The following is a 23,280-nucleotide window of genomic DNA, read 5'->3' as shown; positions in this document are numbered from 1 at the left end:
TAACAGTTATAATTGGGAAAAGCTAGAATTTTTTCTCAATTTTACAATTCTGCTAGTTTTTACAACTTTTTTACGTTTAAATGCAATAGCATTTAAGCTAATAAAAACAAATGCCTGCTTTACATAATTCTCTTACAGGAAATATAAAAATAAAATACATTTTTAAAATCTTGGAAATTTTATGAAAATATATTGCCACTTAGAGACACAGCCAAGTACATAATCTCAGCTTCTTCTTTTTTATTTATTTATTTTTTATTATTATACTTTAAGTTTTAGGGTACATGTGCACATTGTGCAGGTTAGTTACATACGTATACATGTGCCATGCTGGTGTGCTGCACCCACTAACTCGTCATCTAGCATTAGGTATATCTCCCAATGCTATCCCTCCCCCCTCCCCCCACCCCACAACAGTTCCCAGAGTGTGATGTTCCCCTTCCTGTGTCCATGTGATCTCATTGTTCAATTCCCACCTATGAGTGAGAATACGCGGTGTTTGGTTTTTTGTTCTTGCGACAGTTTACTGAGAATGATGATTTCCAATTTCATCCATGTCCCTACAAAGGACGTGAACTCATCATTTTTTATGGCTGCATAGTATTCCATGGTGTATATGTGCCACATTTTCTTAATCCAGTCTATCATTGTTGGACATTTGGGTTGGTTCCAAGTCTTTGCTATTGTGAATAATGCCGCAATAAACATACGTGTGCATGTGTCTTTATAGCAGCATGATTTATTGTCCTTTGGGTATATACCCAGTAATGGGATGGCTGGGTCAAATGGTATTTCTAGTTCTAGATCCCTGAGGAATCGCCACACTGACTTCCACTATGGTTGAACTAGTTTACAGTCCCACCAACAGTGTAAAAGTGTTCCTATTTCTCCACATCCTCTCCAGCACCTGTTGTTTCCTGACTTTTTAATGATTGCCATTCTAACTGGTGTGAGATGGTATCTCATTGTGGTTTTGATTTGCATTTCTCTGATGGCCAGTGATGGTGAGCATTTTTTCATGTGTTTTTTGGCTGCATAAATGTCTCCTTTTGAGAAGTGTCTGTTCATGTCCTTTGCCCACTTTTTGATGGGGTTGTTTTTTTCTTGTAAATTTGTTTGAGTTCGTTGTACATTCTGGATATTAGCCCTTTGTCAGATGAGTAGGTTGCGAAAATTTTCTCCCATTTTGTAGGTTGCCTGTTCACTCTGATGGTAGTTTCTTTTGCTGTGCAGAAGCTCTTTAGTTTAATGAGATCCCATTTGTCAATTTTGTCTTTTGTTGCCTGCAGAGTGTTTTCCAACTTGGTTCCATTCTCCCCATCACTTTCAGGTACACCAATCAGACGTAGATTTGGTCTCTTCACATAGTCCCATATTTCTTGGAGGCTTTGCTCATTTCTTTTTATTCTTTTTTCTCTAAACTTCCCTTCTCGCTTCATTTCATTCATTTCATCTTCCATCGCTGATACCCTTTCTTCCAGTTGATCGCATCGGCTCCTGAGGCTTCTGCATTCTTCATGTAGTTCTCGAGCCTTGGTTTTCAGCTCCATCAGCTCCTTTAAGCACTTCTCTGTATTGGTTATTCTAGTTATACATTCTTCTAAATTTTTTTCAAAGTTTTCAATTTCTTTGCCTTTGGTTTGAATGTCCTCCCGTAGCTCAGAGTAATTTGATCGTCTGAAGCCTTCTTCTCTCAGCTCGTCAAAGTCATTCTCCATCCAGCTTAGTTCCGTTGCTGGTGAGGAGCTGCGTTCCTTTGGAGGAGGAGAGGCGCTCTGATTTTTAGAGTTTCCAGTTTTTCTGTTCTGTTTTTTCCCCATCTTTGTGGTTTTATCTACTTTTGGTCTTTGATGATGGTGATGTACAGATGGGTTTTTGGTGTGGATGTCCTTTCTGTTTGTTAGTTTTCCTTCTAACAGAAAGGACCCTCAGCTGCAGGTCTGTTGGAGTACCCTGCAGTGTGAGGTGTCAGTGTGCCCCTGCTGGGGGGTGCCTCCCAGTTAGGCTGCTCAGGGGTCAGGGGTCAGGGACCCACTTGAGGAGGCAGTCTGCCCGTTCTCAGATCTCCAGCTGCGTGCTGGGAGAACCACTGCTCTCTTCAAAGCTGTCAGACAGGGCCATTTAAGTCTGCAGAGGTTACTGCTGTCTTTTTGTTTGTCTGTGCCCTGCCCCCAGAGGTGGAGCCTACAGAGGCAGGCAGGCCTCCTTGAGCTGTGGTGGGCTCCACCCAGTTCCAGCTTCCCAGCTGCTTTGTTTACCTAATCAAGCCTGGGCAATGGCGGGCGCCCCTCCCCCATCCTCACTGCCGCCTTGCAGTTTGATCTCAGACTGCTGTGCTAGCAATCAGCGAGACTCCATAGGGTAGGACCCTCTGAGCCAGGTGCGGGATATAATCTCGTGATGCGCCGTTTTTTAAGCCCGTCGGAAAAGCACAGTATTCGGGTGGGAGTGACCCGATTCTCCAGGTGCCGTCCGTCACCCCTTTCTTTGATTAGGAAAGGGAACTCCCGGACCCCTTGCGCTTCCCGAGTGAGGCAATGCCTCGCCCTGCTTCGGCTCGCGCACAGTGTGCGCACCCACTGACCTGCGCCCACTGTCTGGCACTCCCCAGTGAGATGAACCCGGTACCTCAGATGGAAATGCAGAAATCACCCGTCTTCTGCGTCGCTCACGCTGGGAGCTGTAGACTGGAGCTGTTCCTGTTCGCCATAATCTCAGCTTCTACAGCAATTTCATGAGGCAGATGTACATAGGTAATTATTTTCGTAACAATTTATTAATTTGAGGGTAAAGTTAAAAAATAATTCCTACCAGTTACCCTCAAATAATGTTTCAATTTTAAATACATAAAACTACTTTCAACTATTCAATCCAAAACTGATTAATGACAATATTGTTACAAAGATGTGATTGACAAAGATACTCATTTTTAAACTCTTTACATGCAAAATAAATATCAGGAAAATGAAAGAATTAAGAAATCAGCAACCTTAGTAATGTTACATGACTCTTCTGGTTGCTCACATTGAACTGCCACGAAGGTTTATTAAAATTTAATAGCAATAACACTTCCCTTTCTTTCATGTGGAAAGGCAAATTTTACCCTTGTTATTCTCTGCCTTCAAACTAATGCTAGTGTCTCATTTTCAATGAATGTTGTGGCCAGCAGGGATTAAATAGGGATCATATTTCACTCTAAACAATGTTTATGACTTGTAATTTTAACATTGTTAGTAGTGTTTTGTTTTTGTTTTGCCTTTGTCAGTGGTACACAATCACGTTTTGTGATGAAGTAGAGAAGTAAGTTTAATGAGAAATTAGCTTATGCTATATTTTTGCCCAATCTATAAGAGGTAAATCTTGTTCTGAATTTGACGTTTGACATTGTGAGGATTAATGTTGTGTGTCCTGCATTGGTCTAGAAAATCTTTAGTCTATTGTCCTTTCCAACCCAGAGGTGTGCTTGATTTAATGGGTCCTGGGAGAGCAGGGATTTTCAACAAACAAGCTGGAATTTTAGCTTCATTCAAGGGAATCATGAGTTGTCCTTAAGGGTCTTAAACCAAACCTGGCTCACATAATATTTAACTTCAATCTTAGAACATTTCTAAATATGACCCAATTGTAGACAATTACATTAATAGCAAGAAACTATTTGGAAACAAAATGGAAGAATTTAATCTTTTCTCATTTGCCAATTAAGATAAAATCCTTAAGTTGCTATTTATTTTTTCTGTGCCATCAAAATAAATTCTAGAATTAATACTTTCAGATAGTTTTTGCTAAATAATTACTTGGGGAGAGCTGGATATAGGAGAACTTAATCTTGTCCAACTTATCTACATGATAATCCAATTTTTCCTTGTTTTTATTTGTATATACAGTTAACTCTTGAACAAGGTGGGGTTGGAAGAATCAACCCTTTGTGCAGTCAAAAATCCACATATAACTTTTGACTATCCAAAAACTTAACTACTAACAGCCTTCTGTTGACCAGAAACCTTACCATAACACAGTCAATTAACACATATTTTGTATGTTCTATGTACTATATACACTATATTCTTCTAATGAAGTAAGCTAGAGAAAGGAAAACACTATTAAGAAAGTTATTAGGAAGAAAAAATATTTACTCTTCAAGTGGAAGTGGATCATCACAAAGATCTTTCATCTTAGCGGCTTCTTGTCGAGTAGCTGGAGGAGGATCAGGAAGAGGAGGGATTCATCTTGCTGTGTTAGGGGTGGCAGAGGTAGAAGAAAATACAAATATAAGTGGAGGCACACAGTTTAAACCCATGTTGTTCAAGGATCAACTTAGAAAAGTTATAATATATCAATGAATTGTTATGTACAAATGTCATTAGGGTATCTGACTTCATAAACTCCAAAATGTGTCCACTCCAAAATTAAAGCACACTATTGGGGAAGACAGATTTATAGTGTGCTATCATAAATAGGACATTATTGTGACTAAGATTACAATGTACCCGGACTACGTTGTATGCTGTTCATTAGAAATTCTTTGAATTCGTTAGTTTTCAACATCATTGCTCTCCCATCTCCTTCCATCCTTCCGCACGGAGCTCTGATTCAAACAAAATCCTTTTATGGGGAAGCCTTTATAATCAAAATGTATTTATTCTAGATAAAGGTGCAGGACATAGCTAGGAATGCCATATCAATGTTCTCTACAAGCCTCTTTTAAAAAAAAAGAAAAAGAAAAGAAAAGAAAAAAGGAGCCAGGGCATGGTGCCTCATGCCTGTAATCCCAGCACTTTGGGAGGCCAAGGTGAGTGGATAACCTGAGGTCAGGGGTTCGAGACCAGCCTGGCCAACATGGCAAAACCCCGTCGCTACTAAAAAAAAAATACAAAAATTAACCAGGCATGGTGGCTCATGCCTGTAATACCAGCTACTCAGGAGGCCGAGGCATGAGAATCCCTTGAACCCAGGAGGCAGAGGTTGCAGTGAGCCAAGATCATGCTACTGCACTCCGGCCTGGGTGACAGAGTGAGACACTGTCTCAAAAACAAAAAGGAAGGAAGGAAAAAAGAGAGAGAGTGAGAGTAAGAAAAAGAGAAAAAAATAACCTCTGAGGTAAACAACTATTTTTTAAAATGACAAATTTAAATTGCATTTGCTTATAGCACCAGGCATGTTGTAAAGAATGAAGAGAGTAAAGCTAGTAAGAGCAGCATGATAAATTATGAGCTATCTAACCCATATGCACTATTGCACATTCATAAACATATCTACTTTATCCAACTATTCAGTAATTCATTTACTCATTCATTCAGTAAGTACTTACTGAGCACCTGTTGTCAGACAAATCTAGGGTTTAGGTAATTTCTGCCGCCAGCCACACAAGCCTGTCTCTCTGATCTGCTTACTTGATTGATCCTTGAGTATGTCTAAGTGATCTCCTGAGCTCTCTTTCTTCTCACTCTGGGAATGAAATATATGCTTGCCTCACATAAAAAAGGGACACCCATGAACACTGATAGGAATATGTTCTCTAGTATGTTTGCACTCATACAGATCAGTTTTTGTCAATGAATAAGGAAGACTTTTTTCCTCCCCAAAATGTATCTTGGGATGGAAGTGATAGAAATATCTTGGATAAAATACTACTTTTCTTTCTCCAAAAGCACTCATTTTGCTCAGCATTAGAACAATTTAAATAAATCATTCTTAAGTAGTTTTAAAAATGCCTCATAGTAGACATATGCAACAGGTAGTGGGTGACAAAGTGGTTTATCACTATTTATTTCTCCATATGTGAATATTTTCCACTGTTTTGTTACTGGAAAATGTAGTATATATAATTTGTAAATGTCAGAAAACATGTGCTTTCTTTTTTTAAAAAACACGTGCTTTCTTGTAGCCATGTGAAATATGGTTATTTGAAGAACACTCTGAAACATGTGCTGTGTTACAGTAAATAATTGAGCAAGACTGCCTGAAAAATTAATATTTCAACTGTATGAAACAGAGAAGCCTCCTCTTTTTCATTTTGCTAATGATAATACAATGCTTACCGCTCATAGGTATTTAATGAGCACTTATCAGTGGACTGACTGATAACAGAGACCTGCCTATAGAGGAGTCTCATAAATAATTAAAACATAAGGCAGAATCAAAAACAAAGTTTTAATTTCTAGATTACTAGCCCATCACTCAAAGCATTAAATAAAACCAATGGGAATTTTAAAAGAAGAATCTACACTTTAATTCTAAATTTTTACTGACTAATCATCTCACACAAAAACGAGTGACCGATAGCAATGCACGTTTGAATTATCCATTTTTGTCCACATTATGACATTTACTTGTTTTATGCAGTCATTACATTTAAACTCTAGTTATTCCCTCAAGAAGTAAAAATTAATATTGCTCATTAGTTATTTTGTAAATTGTTTGCAACTTTTATTTTTTGCCTATATTCTTGTGCAAAAGGCTACTATCAATATCAGGGACCAGAGAGCAAAAAAATGTGGAGAAATATTAAAGTCACAATTTTTCCAGAAAGTTATTTAGAAAGAGCATCGAATGTGGAGCCAGGAGACCTATATTTAAATCTGACCTCTGCAACTGTTAATGGCGAAGTCATGTATGCTCTTTTCTAAATGCAAGTAGTCAGACTTCAGACAGTCTAAAGATCCCTCTAGATCTTTAATTTAATGATTGATTATCTAGTTAACCATTTCCTCCACGTATAATTTGACCCATATGGCATTGTGCTAACCTTTACATCTAAGAGAACTAATGTGTGTACTCTAATACTCATGCAGAAAAGTGGCATGCAATTAATTTATGACTGTGTGTTATAATGAAAGCACAGTGAGGCATCCATCGAAGGATAGATGTCTGCTAATTCTCAAGTCTTTGATGGGAGAGATAGCTTCTAACTGTAGCTTGAAGCACAAGAAAAGGGAAAATCAACTAGAAGCAGGAGGCAGCAAGCCGGGTTTAGAAAAGAGTAAATTGTGGAAACTTACAGAAACAGGCATAAAATGAGATAGCAAAACAAGATTAGGGACTGCAAACTGCTGTTAGTGAGACAGTACTAAGGTAAAGGTGGTGGGTGTAGGTCTGTGCTTTGTTTTAATAAAAGCATTACATTTTTGAAAGGTCTTCTCATTAATTTATATGTCAGTGACTTGAAGGGTATACCAAAATTGAGAGAAATTAAATATAAAGAACAAGTTACTTCACTGTTTCAGTAGATTTTGTGTTTAATGCTGCTGGCAAAACAGAACTCTCAAGAAATTTATTCATGTGATTATTGTATGTAAAACAACCATAACAGTGCTGAGCACATAGAATGAAAAAATATTAGCCATTTAATTGTTATTTGATAGCCAGTTTATAAATAATTTAAGGTTTAAATGGTATAATTTTAATAGTCATTTGAACATAATTTATAACTTAATTAGCAAAGCTAATGTATATCCTGACATAAAATTTATATTGCTACATTTGCTTTTTCTTAGATATTTTTATATTTACTTTTTCTAAATTTTTGTTGCATTAAAAAAATAATGTGGTTCAAATTACATTTGAGTCACTTGCTTCTGTGTGTCAGTAGTAGGTATACGCCAGGAGTAGGTTCTAGGGCTAGACATACAAAAATAAGTAAAGACAGCATATTTTAACTCTAGAAGTGGAGCTAAGGAGATAAAGCAGTGATTAATCTATGTATGTACAGGGCACTATGCTTCATAAAAGAAAGCATGATGCATTGTCCCTTAGAAGGTCAAGAATTCACAGGAGAAGGCTGACTTGGGTCTTGAAAGGTGAATAAATTTACCTAAGCAGGTGAGGGTGGAAGATGGAAAGCATTGGGGAGATAAAGAGCATTCTAATCTGTGAGACTATAGATGGCATGTCATCGAGCTAATTGGAAATATTCTTGTGTGTGTATGTAAATAAAATACATATTTATATATTGCTGTATTTAGGGGTAAACACACATGCATATACACTTATGCACACTCTATTGGTGAAGGAGAAAACAAATGAGTGTGTAAAATATAAAGAGCCCAAATCTCATAGATAATGAAAATCTCTAGCCAGGTTTTAAGGAGGCAAGTGATGTAATATCTGTTCTCTTTTGATTTTGATTCACGCCTTGTTTGAATGAATTTCATTATTAAGAAGTTGTTATTGTTATAGTTTCTTGAATGTCTGCTCTATTTCCTTAAAATTCACTTGTTTGAGAATGACTGGAGATGCCTCTCTCATTTGAAAGACAAATTGCTGAGTCACAGATGTTTTCACTTGCTTATTTGTGTGAATTGCTTTTCTGTTTGGGGGCAAATAATGCTGTTTTGAACAAGTATGAGGCCCACCTGATATCTTCCCTTGTACGTGACTCAATTTTCCACATAAATTCCAAATGTATTCTTTATTTAATAAGTTCTATTAATTATTACTTCTGTAAGAGACTTTTCGATCTGTAGATTCAATCTATTTTTATGTTTTATTTCCTTATCTTTCATTTCTATTATCATATTAATGAATTCATCTCTTTCAAAAAATTAGATTTTATTATTACTTAGTTTGTAACTTTTGCAACCAGAATTAAGCCTCTATTTCTTGTGCCAACTCCTCTTCTTTCCTATGCTCTTCATTTACATTTTAGTGAACTTATTTCCTCCTTCTGACAATGAGGAAATGAGCTGGAGGAATTTGCAGCCTATGATTTTTGTTGTTTTGACTTTAAGCACACTCTGTGATCTTTAATATATTTTCTTCTGTGAACACACCTCACTTTATTTATTATTATTATTATTATTTTTTCATATCTTGACTGGTGTGATTGGTGTGTTTCTCATGAAGCCCCATCAGAAACACCCTGTGGGATAGTCTGGTATTCATACCTTTCACTTCTGCCCTCATACTAATTTACCTACAGTGATATCCTTTAGAAGAAGGATAATGCATACACAATAAATTGTGTGTGTGTGTGTGTGTGTGTGTGTGTGTGTGTGTGTGTGTGTTAGAGAGAGAGAGAGAGAGAGAGAGAGAGATTAGGACAGTACCTAGCTTGGCTTGCCCATGTTAGTTGAAATGATGATAATAATGATGATGACCATGGCTTTATGCTTTACCTATACCTCTACTTTTTCTTTTTCTTTTCTTTTTTTTTTTGACAGGGTCTCACACTGTAATCATAGCTCACAGCAAACTTGAATTCCTGGGCTCAAAACATCCTCCCTGCTCAGCCTGAAGCACGCACAGCAACTTTTTTTTTTTAAGTAGAGATGGGATCTTGCTATGTTGCAGAGGCTGGTCTGGAACTCCTGGTCTCAAGCAATCCTCCTACCTTGGCCTCCAAAAGTGCTGGGATTACAGGCTTGAGCCACTGTGTTCAGTCTGCACCTCCACTCTTTATGGACATGTTCCAATAATCTTACAGTCGTGTAGACTCCTAGAGCTTGTTTCTGTAATAAAAGCATCTATGGATGCAATCTCTATGATTTGTTAACCCTTTGCTTATTAATTCTATCCTACTTGAAATATATGGAGAGACATGCCAGATCTCAGCATTTTATATCAAAATGTTTCAAGTTTCACTATATTTGAAATATTTCCTTAATAATTTGATATTGCTTTGGTGTTACTTCTTCATTTAATATGTATATTTTCCTCTTATACTTTTCATCTTTTTTTCTTTTCATGAAAATCAAAGGAAGGGGATAGAGTACACATGGTTTTACTCTGTCATCTTTCACCAGTAGAAAGTGCATGTGTTTTGTAGAAAGTTTACTCTGGGGGCAGTATATAACATGGTTTGTTGGTGTAAACCTGGAAAGGAAGTTCTGTAAGAAGATGATTACTGTAATCCAGGAAAGACATTATGGGGAGTTAAATTAGGACAGTGGCAGTGAGTATGTAAGCAAAAGAAAATACAGGGCAAATTATTGTGTTAAGCAAAACTGTAGCGATGGATCAGATTAGTGAATGATGAAGAAGGGTCTGGCTTGCATGGGTCTGTAATGATTGATACTTACAACAAACTTAAAACACACAGAAAGTTGATGACGTCAGTAATGGAAAGAAGAAAAAGGAGTGAATTCTGTTTAAGTCATGCGGACTCTGAGATGTTTGTACAATATGTAAATAGAGGTTTCTAGTAAGTCTTTGTTTGGACTTTGGAGGGAAATATCTCTTGGAAGATATATATTTGAGACTTGTCAAAATACTGCTAGTGGTGAAAGCCATAGTTGTAGATAAGATTAGCCACCAAGTTATTACTGTGTAAAAACACCAAGTACAGAGCAAATAAAATAATATAAATATGCAAGAGCTGTTAGCTAAAGCAAATTATATGAGAGTGAGAGGTAACAAACTTTTCCAAAATCAGTTCTTAGTATTTTCCAAAATATACCCTCCTTAGAAGTGTTTACGGAGAAAAGCAGAAAGACCCAGACCTTTGATGTCAGATGGAAATAGTTATCTTAACTCTACATCATACTAGCTCTGTGACCTAGGATATTCCTGATAGCCTATCTGAGTCAATTTCCTCATGAGAAAAAAATGGGAATGAACTCCTATTAACTTCCTTAACTATAGTTAGCCTTTTTTTGTTGTTGCTGTTACAGATTTAGGTTTTGCTTCTCTAAAGGTATTTGTCTACTTTTCCATGAAGGTTTTTATTATTCTTAATACTCCACATAGTTTTTAGCCAAGGTCTACGTGTTATACATAATATGGACTAAATGTGTTTTTGTTGACTTAGTAGGTGAATGACCGTTAAGTGATAACAATCTGAATCATAAAATTAGATTATGAACAACTTACTTTACATAAATACTTTTCACATTACACAAAATGAAAAATAAATTCATATAACAGATAGTTCTGCCTTTGAAGCTTTATAAGCATATTTGAGGAAAAATATAGTGTCTCTCCCTGATAACATGGCCTAGGACACTTGTGTCTTGTGTGGGGTCTAGAAGTATGGGAGCTGGGCTTGGGCTGAGAATGAACTTTTACGAGTTGTCCAAAGCTCAAGTACATGCATCTTGTTCTTTGATTCGGTACATATACATCATGGAATACTATGCAGCCATAAAAATTGAGACCATGTCCTTTGCAGGGACATGGATGGAGTTGGAGGGCATTATCCTTAGCAAACTAATGCAGGAACAGAAAACCAAATACTGCATGTTCTCAGTTATAAGTGCGAGCTAAATGATGAGAACACATGGACACATAGAGGGGAACAATACATAGAGGGGAACAACAACCACACACAGAGAGGCTTACTGGAGGGTGGAGGGTGGGAGGAAGGGGAGAAGCAAGATATGTAACTAATAGGTACTAGGTTTAATACGTGGGTGATGAAATAATCTGTACAACCAACCCCCATGACATACGTTTACCTATGTAACAAACCTGCACATGCTACACATGTAGCCTGAACTTAAAATACAAAGAAAAGTCTATACAAGTAAAAACAATTATTCATATTAACTAAAAATAAGCATCTGGTAGGGGAGAATCCTGGCATAAATTCATGGATAGAGACATTAGAGTACAGAACATCAACAAATACAAAGGGACAAGTTGGAAGAAGAGCTTGGAAACATGTCCTAGGAAAAGGTGGTAGAGCTGTGTTTCATAGACTGCTGTGGCCTCTGGCACAGGCTGGAGAGACTAGTCAAGGTAAAAGTTAGTAACAGATCAGGATGTGTAAGCTTGATGCATATTTTAAGCAAACATTGTAGAATAAGAGAATATACTCGGCATCACCAAATAAATAAAAGCATATAGATGCCCATTGGTATTGGCCCCATCTACGCAATGACAAGATGCACTGACCAGAAATAGTAGGAGTAGAATTCATCCTCCACACAGTTACCTTAGAGCAGTACTTGCCAAACATCAGTCTGTGGAAAGGTCCTAATCTTGCGTGTAATAAAATGTTAAAAACTAGTCCTTGGTGAAATAAAGAAAATAGATTGAATTTTTCCATTATGCAAATTTATTTATCTCTGAAGATTATTCGTTGTTCATGTTTTTGCTCATTTTGATCATTTTGTTCATAAAATAAAATGGCTCCCACCCCCTTTTTTCTAATGAAATGACAATGATAGCAAATAGTCCTTGCTTTTGTTTTTTTGTTCTTATAATGCAAGAAAAAGTTGTGAACTTTCATTTCAGCCTCTATTCTGGAACTTTTTTGGTTCATGAAATTGAAAATAAAATCCAGGAAGTACTAAAATATAGGATCTAAAACTGTTGGACCTTACTGAACTTTCCAATATTTACAAATATCTAGATGTGGTCATCATTTAGCCAAAATGTTTTGGCATCATATAGACCCAGCCTTTGACTACTTCAATGGGTTCTTTGACTGTTCTATGAAAAGGACAAAGTTCAAGTCATGGAAAAAGGACATAAGCCTAAAGCCATCAATGAATACAGGCAATTCATTTGAGTCCAGCAACTGGTGGGGTCCTATTACCTTTCATGTTACCAAACTTGGAAAAAGAGAGACAGAGAAATATAACAGAAGTCAGAAATATAAAGAACAGGGTGGATATTGTCTGGATTTGAAGGTCAAATATACAGGAGTTCTTCCTCCCACTATAAAAAGTCTAGTTCTGGGCACTCTTGCAAACCAGAAATCTGTATTAATTTCATTGCCTTTTTGAGAATCTGACCCAGTCATTATAATGTAACCATCTTTGTAAATCTGTGTTCATCCTAAAGAAAATCAGAACACAACAGGAAACATACAGTCTTGGTATGTAGGGGTGAATCATCATTTATTATTTTTGTGTAAGTGTTCCCAATCCTCGTGCATGATTTTGGTGCGAGTGTCTTTTTTCTTTCCATTTAACAAAACACATGCATGAGAAGAACACTAGTTTATAAAACAACCATTAATATCTCAAATATGGAACTGATGGTGATTGCTATCAATTTCTCCCTTCAAATGCTTCTTTTTAAAAGTAAATATACATTAGAGATTATGATTACTCTTGGGGGGAAAAGTAAATATGAACATTTATAGATAAATAAATAGAATAAAAATTAAAATTGACTCATTATAAAATATGGTTTTTCTCCCACGATTAACTGGTAGCATATTAGAGATCAATTATAATTTATAATTTATTCTGTTGTAACATACTCTTAAATAGAAATCTATCAAATGGACTTTACATATAAGAATCTTGAATTTCATGAGACTCCTCTACTTTGTGAAACTACATCACAAGAGAGTACAATTTATTTATAATTGACAACACTGCTACTTGAAATTATTTAAGTTGATTTTTTCTGCCCCGCAAGCTATGCACTAAAGCTTGTCGTCTTCATTGTCTTATATAATAGTAAGAATGGTGACAATAATTAGCAGTTATTGAGCACAAACTGCATGTCTGTGTCTGGTTTTACAGTCAGTATGTTTTCCATTTTGTCATTAAGCAACTCATAAACACACTAAATCCTTTGGTGAATCTGGAGTGAACAGAATGCTTCTTTAGTCACCTTCCAAATTTAAGAATACATACTTTATTAAAGAGTGTTCTGAAATGGCATCTTTAATTACAATCCTACATTTGCTTCTCTTATAGCTCGACACAGCATGTAGAAGTTGAAGTAATCTCTCAACCAGAGAAAAACAATTACATTCAAAGAGAATTAATGCCTCTAAAAGCTTTGGCCTATTCAGATTCACCATAGTCAAATTAATTTTATAGAAACTTAGCTTGTTTTTTAAAAACAACAATTGTTGTTTAACTGAATATGAGCATAGGCAAGATGTAAGAAGGTGGAAGAATAACACACATTTCACATTACTGAATTTTACTATAGTTCCCATAGCAGTTTATGTCATTGTAAGATACATAACTGAAACGAAAGAAAGACTTAAAATTCTGAAGGAGTACATTCAAAGTTATTTAATATTGGAGGCAGCTAATTGTCTCTACATCTAGGAAAATCAAAGTCATGCATTTAACTAAGGAAAACAGAATACTGAAGAATCTGAGAACTAGATTTGGAAAAAAAAATGTGTCTGATTTTAACCCATGTTTCTATTTAATCTATTGAATAAAATTTCACCCAATTTCTATTTAATCTCACACTGGAAAGTGGTGATATAACCTAAGCAATCCAGAATTTGTATTGTTCACTGACATTAGTTTTTAAGACTCTTCTCTAAGTTATAAAGCAATATAAAAATCTCGTGTTGGAGAAGAACATCTAAAGGATTTGGAGTGAAAGGAATAATGAGACAAAATTAAGCACATTTGAAAGCAGTGGAAGACAGCTGCTAACACATATGCCAGGAAAGTATTGTCTTTTTTAAAAAATCAAACTGTTGAGAAGTAACAGTTTAAAACTGTGGTTTGTTTTCATGATGATTTCATACATAAGCCACCAAAAACTTCCGTAAGTTGTCTGTACGTAGGAAACAGTAATTCTGTCCAAACTAATTTACAGAATTCACCCTGGAACATATTTTTCAATTGGGAAAATATTTTCATTGTTTGGAACTGTGATATAGAAAGTCATTCCTTTTATTATTTAGAATTGAGAATACATAAACTGGAAAACAAGAAGGAATACTTCATTGTTCTTAAAATGCCATTACATTTAATATTAGTGTAAATCAAAGAACATACTGCTATTCTTATTTTCCCTCCACCATACAAAATTACTGATGTTTACAAGTTAGGACACTTAGTAAGATAGGTTAAAAAAAAAGAAAAAAAATATATATAGTTTTCAGTCTACTCCATCTGGACTGTAATTTGCTACATCTGGTCAAGAAGATCAACCTACAAATATTTAACTTCTACTTATACAAACAGGAAATATTTAATTGAGTGCTTACTAGGAAATGCTTGTTCTAGTATTTTTATAGGCATTATCTAATTTCACCTCAGTAACTCTTAAAAGATACATTAACTCTTAAAAGATACATTATTCATCCCATCTTCTATAAAACTTGGGACCAGGGAGTTTAAGGAACTTGTCCTAGTTTGCACATCTAAAAGATAAGTACTGTGGTGATGGCTTGTGTTCTTACTTATAACTGTATAACTCCAAAATCTGTAGCTATAGTATTTATTTTCCTACAACTTCTTCCAATTGATGCTTAGAGATCCCTTATGTAGTTTCTATGCATTTGCAATTAAAATCCATTCTTGTACCTCTTACATGGCCCTTTCATTGCTTAATATCTCTATGTAATTTTTTTGGTTTAGGCTGAGGTGGCTTTTTTTTTTTTTTTTTTTTTTAAAGTTTGGCCTCTCTGAAACTAAGGTAGAATTACAGATCTTAGAATTGGAAGTAAGGATGAAGGGTATCCATTTGATAAACAGATCTCTTTGAATGACCATTCAATCAGGGCCTGAACATATCCAGTGATACAGCCCGTGCCTCTGGCAGCAGCCCGTTTCCATCCTCACACAACTCAGAGTGCCTGAAATTTCAGACTTTTATTGACTCTGGGTAGCATAGCATTGATCATTTGTAATCTTTTGGATGCCAATGAAATGAATGCCATTTCTTTTTTTTTTTTTTTTTGAGACTGAATGTTGCTCTGTCACCCAGGCTGGAGTGCAGTGGTGCAATCTCGGCTCACTGCAACCTCTACCTCCCAGGTTCAAGCAATTCTCTTGCCTCAGCCTCCCGAGTAGCTAGGATTACAGGCACCCGCCATCAAGCCCAGCTTATTTTTTTGTATTTTTAGTAGAGACAGGGTTTCACCATGTTGGCCAGGTTGGTCTTGAACTCCTGACCTCGTGATCCACCCGCCTTGGACTACCAAAGTGCTGAGATTACAGGCATGAGCCACCGTGTCCAGCCAATAAATGCCATTTCAATTTAGATATTATGTAGTGGATTTTCTGTCCCTCCTCTCTGGAGACTAACAGCTCTCATTTATTTCAGCTGTGATTCACATGAATACAAACTCTTTTCCTTCCTTCCTTCCTTCCTTCCTTCCTTCCTTCCTTCCTTCCTTCTTCCCTCCCTCCTTCCCTCCCTCCCTTCCTTCCTCCCCTTCTTCTTTTTTTTGTGTGTGTGGAGAGTGGGGTGGGGTAGGGAGTAAGGCCAGCCTAGTATTGTACTATTTCTCATGAAGAAATGAGAAAAATATCTTTTAACAATTTGTTAACAATTTTTGTCTATAGGATAGGTAAATATATAAAAAGATAGATATTCCATTTTACATTGTTGACCAGGTAATATGAAAAAAAAATGTGAGTTAGGCATGATGAGCTATTAATTATATATTTCCGCAGGGAATGTTCATTCTGGTAGATAAGATTGCAATAATTGACAGTGGGATGCAGGTTATAAGAGTAATTCAAGCAAAATGTAACAGGAAGCTCTCTGAGAATTTCTTGGCAGTTGCATTTGAACTAGCTTTAAGCGTGGCTCTATTCTGTAGCTGTTGGAGTCAGGAAAAATAGCAACAAAGGCCAAAGAGTGAATGAGCACAGTGCATGGTTTCCCGCATGATAGAGGACATGAGAAGTACTGGGATAGGGTCTAAATTTAAATGATAGTGACCTGACCTTTAGTGCTAAGTTAAAGAGTATGAATTTTATCCTCTGTTGAAATCATATTTTTGATGATAAAATGATAAAATGAAGAGGTCAGTAGGACAAATAGATAAAGCAAGGCAATCAATCACATGGCTAATATATGTTTCCTGATGTTAATAGCTGGAACAGAGGACAGGTCTACATTGCAGCTTTCTCTCTTCGGAAGGCACATCGCATTCTACATTTTTCTGGATGCTGATGAAAATTTCCTACTAAGTGTGCACCCGAAAAATCTAAAGCACTGATTCAGGACATACAGTTTTGGAGAATCCTCAAAAATTCTATCCCATGGGGGTGGGGTGTGTGTGTGTACATGTGTGCGTGCATTGAGCAAAACATATTTTTAAGAAGCCAATAATTAATTAGCTTCCAAGCACAAAAATGGACTTATATTTAATGTTATTTTTAATCTGAAAGTGTTCCTGTCACTAAAGTATAGGTATATTGTTTAGTATTTGCCTATTCACAGCAGAAGCAAACTGGAGAGCAAAAACAAATGAAAAATTGAAGTCAGATGGTAAAATTAATTTAATTCATGTTTTCATGAAAGCCTCATCTCAGTTTCTCTCTATATATCAGCTCCAAAATGCTTGAAAGAATTTAGGCAGTACAGTGAATCATTTAATGATCAAAAAGACATATTAAAATATTTCAAATAAAAGAGGCCTCAAGGAACCTAAGAGGTTAAACCGGATGTTTCCCCCACATTCCTATTTTGTTAGGTTCTGTGCTTATCCTTCTATCTAATGGCTTGGAACAAATGAAACCACTTTTAAAAAGTTTTTGTAAAATTAAATACATTTATACACAATATTGATCAGTCTAATCCATTACTACATGCAAATAAATTCTGCCAGATCAGTGTGTATAGACAAGTTATTTCACTTCCTCTCTTCTTTAGGACTGCACCATATTAAGTATGAAACCAGCAAATAGGAATATAACTCTCATTTTAATAAAATGCAGGCCGGGCACACTGGCTCACACCTGTAATCCCAGCACCTTGGGAGGCCGAGGCAGGAGGATCACTTGAGGTCAGGAGTTCGAAGCCAGCCTGACCAACATGGAGAAACCCCATCTCTACTAAAAACACAAAAATTAGCCGGGCATAGTGGTGCATGTCTGTAATCCCAGCTACTCGGGAGGCTGAGGTGGGAGAATCGCTTGAACTCGGGAGGTTGTGGTGAACCGAGATCCCGCCATTGTACTCCAACCTGGGCAACAAGAGCAAAACTCCATCTCAAAAAAAAAAAAAAAAAGTAAAATGCACACATTTTGGTTCCAATATATTTCTTAGTACCCTGAAGAATAAGCACTGATTGATAACTACAGCAGTCAATATAGTCAGGTTACCATGTACCAACAGTCTATGCTTATATAGTGCTTCACATTAATACCCAATGTTTTGCTTTGTTACCTTGCAGAAATGTTGGAATCCAACAATGTGATCACTTTCAATGGCTTGGCCAACAGCTCCAGTTATCATACCTTCCTTTTGGATGAGGAACGGAGTAGGCTGTATGTTGGAGCAAAGGATCACATATTTTCATTCGACCTGGTTAATATCAAGGATTTTCAAAAGGTATCAGTATTCTAATATATGCACTATAGTTATTTTGAAGCATCTCAAGTTATAGATAATTCTCTAGCTATTTAAAAGCATGATTACTGACAGAAAATTGTTTTGAATTAATAGTTTGTCTTTTCTGATGCAAATAAAAATGACAGTAATGAATCAATGGATGCAATAAATCAAAAAATATCAAGGATGAAACCACAGTATTTGCAGTAATCATTATAAGAAATATGAACTTCAGCTTACCCTTTCATATCTATTTTTCCTACATAAAAGTAAATACTTGAACCATCGTAGCAATACATCATAATTGACTTCATGAACTATTTATATGTGTGTAGGTATAAATTTATATTTCTCTGTATTTCCAGAAAATGAAGAGTTCATCTATCCATTACCCACATGCCTAATTTGGCATGCTATCAGTGTTTGTAAATAAAGTTTTATTGAAACACAAGCACTCCCATTCATTGACATATTGCCTATGTCTGTTTTTGTGCTACAACAGCAGAATTCAATAGTTACAAAGGGTATCAACTGGTCTACAAAAATGATTTACTATCTGGCCTTTTAAACAAAAAATTTGCCAAACCCTGATCTAGGAGATCAAAGTATCAGATTTTTAAAAATGTGGTCATGCAGACATCAGCAGGATATAAGTTCTATCTTTATTCTTTATAGTATTTCTGGCTCATTTCATTAATAAGCTATATTTTTGTTGTTGTTGTTGTTGTTTTTTGAGATGGAGTCTCGCTCTGTCGCCCAGGCTGGAGTGCAGTGGCGCGATCTTGGCTCACTGCAACTCTGCCTCCCAGGTTCACGCCATTCTCCTGTCTCAGCCTCCCGAGTAGCTGGGACTACAGGTGCCTGCCACCACGCCCGGCTAATTTTTTTTTTTTTTTTTTTTTTTTTTAGTAGAGACGAGGTTTCACCGTGTTAGCCAGGATGGTCTCGATCTCCTGATCAAGTGATCCGCCCGCCTTGGCCTCTCAAAGTGCTGGGATTACAGGTGTGAGCCACCGCGCCCGGCCTTTTATAAGCTATACAGTTTAACAGATATAAACATAGATTGACAAATTAGTGAAAATTGTGCTACTAAGTCTATATGTGTTGTGTCTAAGTGAACCATTTTATCACAGTCAGTATTTCTGATAATAATTATCTGAAGAATAAAGGTCTTTATGCAGTAGCTTTCATAAAGGTAATAGTAGAATTTCATTTTGGAATACATCCCTGTCTGTTTCTATTTGTATTAGTTTTACTTCTTAACATTGAGGGCTTTGAACTGGTATGCCCCAACTACTCACAACCAATAGCAGATTTGATGATAATTTTTAAGAAGTGACAGAATTTTTAAAAGCTTTTATTCTGGTTGGAGAGGGTTGCTTTTGGGATAAAATGCAGTTTTAAATTCAAAGCTGATTTACATTTTTAATAGAGTATAGCATAAACCTAAGACATTTTCTTTTCTTCCATTACCTGAACACTAAAAATCTGACCACAACATAAAGAAATTTGATTCATTATATATAGAGTCATATAAAATGGTAATACACTTATAATGTATTTTAGAATTGTGATATGCCAACTTTAAAAATCACTTCGGGTATTTCTATTTTGATTTTTCAATTCAATTGATTTCAAAGCCCCCTCAGATGATAGGAATAAATGCCTGTTATCTATTATCGAAAAATACTGGTTATTCATTTGTTTTTCTGAAATGATAAGTATTTATCTTAGTCTTTTGAAAATATCATAAAATTAGCAGATTTTTGTTGTTGTTTTACCAAAAGAAAACCATTCTTTATAAAATGAGCACAAAATAGGTCTGGTGCGGTGGCTCATGTCTGTAATCCCAGCATTTCAGGAGGCCAAGGCGGGTGGATCACCTGAGGTCAGGAGTTCAAGACCAGCCTGGCCAACATGGTGAAACCTGTCTCTACTAAAAATACAAAAATTAGCTGGGTGTGGTAATGAGTGCCTGTAATCCCAGCTACTTGGGAGGCTGAGGCAAGAGACTGGCTTGAACCTGGGAGGCAGAGGTTGCAGTGAGCTGAGATCATGCCATTGCACTCCAGCCTGGGTGACAGAGCGAGACTCCGTCTCAAAAAAAAAAAAAAAAAAAAAAAAAAAAAAACACCAAGTCGATGAAGAAAAATTAGATATATTGATTTTAGGAAATTTTATCAGTTAAAATTGTAGGTATTTATAATAATTTATCATTTTGTGATATTCATATATGTATATATCTACAGATAGATAGCTTTATGAGCATAGAATACCTAAGATTATATATTTAATTTATTTAACATTTTTCTGTGAGTATATATTCTGAATGTGGTTAAACTATTCAATTATTTCTAAAACTGAAAATAATCAAATTATAAAATAAAAATCTTACAGCTAAGAAAATTCTACAGCCATTTGTACACTCAGAATATATCACAGTATCTTTTACCAAATATACTTAAAATGAACTATCTTAAAATAATGAATTACAAGGTAAATGATTTGTCCAAAATCGTGATCTTCTTGTTATAGCACTTGCCTTTGAGTTTAAAATCATTCTACTAATAATAAAGGGTATATTTCTAATTTTAAAAACATCCTATTACAAACAGATTATTTATTTTAATTATATCACATTGTTTATACAAATGAACCCAATTTACTTAAGAATTTATATCAGCTGGGTATGGTGGCTCACACCTGTAATCCCAGCAGGTTGGGAGGCCAAGCCCTGCAGATTGCTGGTGTCTAGGAGTTTGAGACCAGCCTGTGCAACATAGTGAAACCCTGTCGCTACAAAATAAATACATAAATAAATAAATAAAATACACAGATAAGCTGGGCATGGTGGCACATGCCTGTAGTCACAGCTAGCCTAAAGGCTGCGGCAGGACAATCATTGCCCTGGAGGTCAAGCCTGCAGTGAGCTGTGATCATACCACTGCATTCCAGCCTGGGCAATAGAGTGAGACCTTGTCGCAAAATAAATAAATAAATAAATAAATAAATAAATAAATAATTTGTTTATACATATATTTGGAGTGTTTTAATATTCCTTTTAACCTATGTATATGTAATGTTCAAATAGCTTTCTTCTAAGCGCCTATTGTGATGAACACTACAGGAGATTTATGGTTTGTTATTAATAATTCTTGATGACCTTACAAGGTTAACAGTAAAGATAAAATAGTAATCTTATGGGCAAATACTAGGCAAATCCCTCTTCGAGGCAAAAACACATGTTCAGGTTTGGAAGAACTGTGGAAAGATTCTTGGCTTTGATAAAAGGGTACAATCTCTTTAAAGCATAAATGCTTATTATATAACATGTGTAAGTGGGCCTGCCATGAGTGGAAGTGTAGAGGCATAAGGATGAAAAAGTACAAAATAGATTATGAAGCACTTTGAAAATGAGAATAAGAAATTTAGATAGTTAACTGAGAAATTTGTGAGCAAAGAATAAAAAGAGAATTCCAACCACCAACAGTTAAACAAATCCATCCAAAACATTAGTAATTACTCTTTATGGAAATGAATACTTAAAAGACTATTAAACATACATTTACTTTTGTTCCACTGGCTTATACTTACCCTCATTAAATTGCTCTCCAAAAGAACATTTCTACATCAAAATTTATTTTACTCATGTCAGATTTCTAAACTTTTATTTGCTATTATTATTATTATTAACCCTGGAACTCTGGAAACTTAAAAGGCCCTTTTAAGTCTAAGAATTTTTAGCATGAATATTATACAAATTATTGTTTATAAATATTTTACTTAGATAAAAGAATCACAGAGAATCATAAAATGAGGTCTATACTGTCTCAACAATTAAGCAACGAGAGCTAGGAAACTATGAGAAAACAACTTGTCTTTTTAAGTATATATATTTTTATATTGTAACTTTTGTTTTTAAACATATATATGTTTTAACAATCAGTGATTTCAGCACAATTTAGCTGGAAAGCTGAATATGAAAGTCAGTAAATCTTAACTGTTATATATTATTATTGTTATGCCCTAGAGAAAAGTTATGTTTTACCCTCTTCCATTATAAACTTTAAATAAAAATAGATCCCCTTGCCTTTCCATCTCCAATGTGAAGACTCAACTGCTGGGATTGCCCAGCAATCATTCTAGAAATTCAGTAGTCAGAGTAATGTTAATTATCAGAATGATACACTTACTGATCTTGAATTCTTGAATGTTTTTATGTGACTACTTTGTAAAAGCCTGTGGAACAACTCAACTATAATTTTAATTTACATATGCAGGCAAATGTGAAAAGGAAAGCACATAAGATAGAAAGAATACTCAAATTTAGAACTTAATGTTAAAAATGAATGCCTATCCAATAATTTTTAGGGTATATTGTTTTGACATGGACCTGAAATGCATTTATCAAGTCATCATACACTACTTCAATATGTGCCAAATCCTTGTTTGTAAATGTGTTTTGTTTTGCTTTGTAATTCTCCAGATTGAATATCATAGCCTTTGCCCAAGTTGATGATCATTTATACTGAATTATCTGGAGGTTCCCAAATGAATGACAATCAGTCATTTTAGGCTAAAAGCTTTCCAGCAGACATGAATGATTAAGTGCCATCATTTCTGTTTTTTTATATATGACTTTTTTCCCACTGAAATTAACTATTCATAATATTACTAGAAAGGAAAAATGAATAAAAAAACCCAAACTGTTCTGCCCCTATACAGATAGGAGTCATTGGAATTGCTCAGGGGATTTTATATTAAAATCAAATGAGAGTATTTGGATTAATATTGTTGGGGGGATGAATCCACTGTCCTCCAAGCCACCATTAACATCATAGTTCATCTACTACTGTCACTGTATTCACACAATATGGGACGTTTTGGAAGGATGAAGACTAAATATGAGGGATAAAAACACAAATAATTGTTTCTCAACTAGTCTTTTAGCCCACATTAGAGAGGGTGATTGTCTTTTAGAGCTATTTGTTTGTTTCTTCAGTCTACCTTTATTTCTCTAACATATACCATGCTACTTTTAAATATTTTCCCTTTCCAAAAAAAAAAAAAAGTCAAGAGGAGAAAAAAGAGAAGTTTCCATTCTAAGTATTTTTTTAATCC

The 23,280-nt window shown here is 35.5% G+C and overlaps 1 protein-coding gene across 3 annotated transcripts in view, besides 2 other annotated features; it reads left to right on the top strand.

The window, feature by feature from the left end:
* SEMA3A (semaphorin 3A) overlaps positions 1 to 23,280 on the top strand; it is a 536,949-nt gene that overhangs the window by 339,773 nt on the left and 173,896 nt on the right. For all 3 annotated transcript variants that reach the window (XM_005250110.4, XM_047419751.1, NM_006080.3), the window contains one exon: positions 18,002 to 18,159. In XM_005250110.4, the coding sequence (XP_005250167.1) occupies positions 18,002 to 18,159 (158 nt within the window). The remainder of the gene's footprint in view (positions 1 to 18,001; positions 18,160 to 23,280) is intronic.
* Positions 1,954 to 2,477: an enhancer, noted in NCBI's record as "OCT4-NANOG-H3K27ac hESC enhancer chr7:83779792-83780315 (GRCh37/hg19 assembly coordinates)". NCBI's record gives its function as "activates a minimal SCP1, AML or CMV promoter by ChIP-STARR-seq in naive H9 embryonic stem cells {active_cell/tissue: H9 hESC(naive)}" and the evidence as "EXISTENCE:reporter gene assay evidence [ECO:0000049][PMID:30033119]".
* Positions 2,478 to 3,002: an enhancer, noted in NCBI's record as "NANOG-H3K27ac hESC enhancer chr7:83779267-83779791 (GRCh37/hg19 assembly coordinates)". NCBI's record gives its function as "activates a minimal SCP1, AML or CMV promoter by ChIP-STARR-seq in primed H9 embryonic stem cells {active_cell/tissue: H9 hESC(primed)}" and the evidence as "EXISTENCE:reporter gene assay evidence [ECO:0000049][PMID:30033119]".

Source organism: Homo sapiens, chromosome 7 (assembly GCF_000001405.40).
Source record: "Homo sapiens chromosome 7, GRCh38.p14 Primary Assembly".
Lineage (NCBI taxonomy): Eukaryota > Metazoa > Chordata > Mammalia > Primates > Hominidae > Homo > Homo sapiens.
Note: the sequence above shows the minus strand (reverse complement) of the source record. Positions and strands in the feature narration are given on the sequence as shown.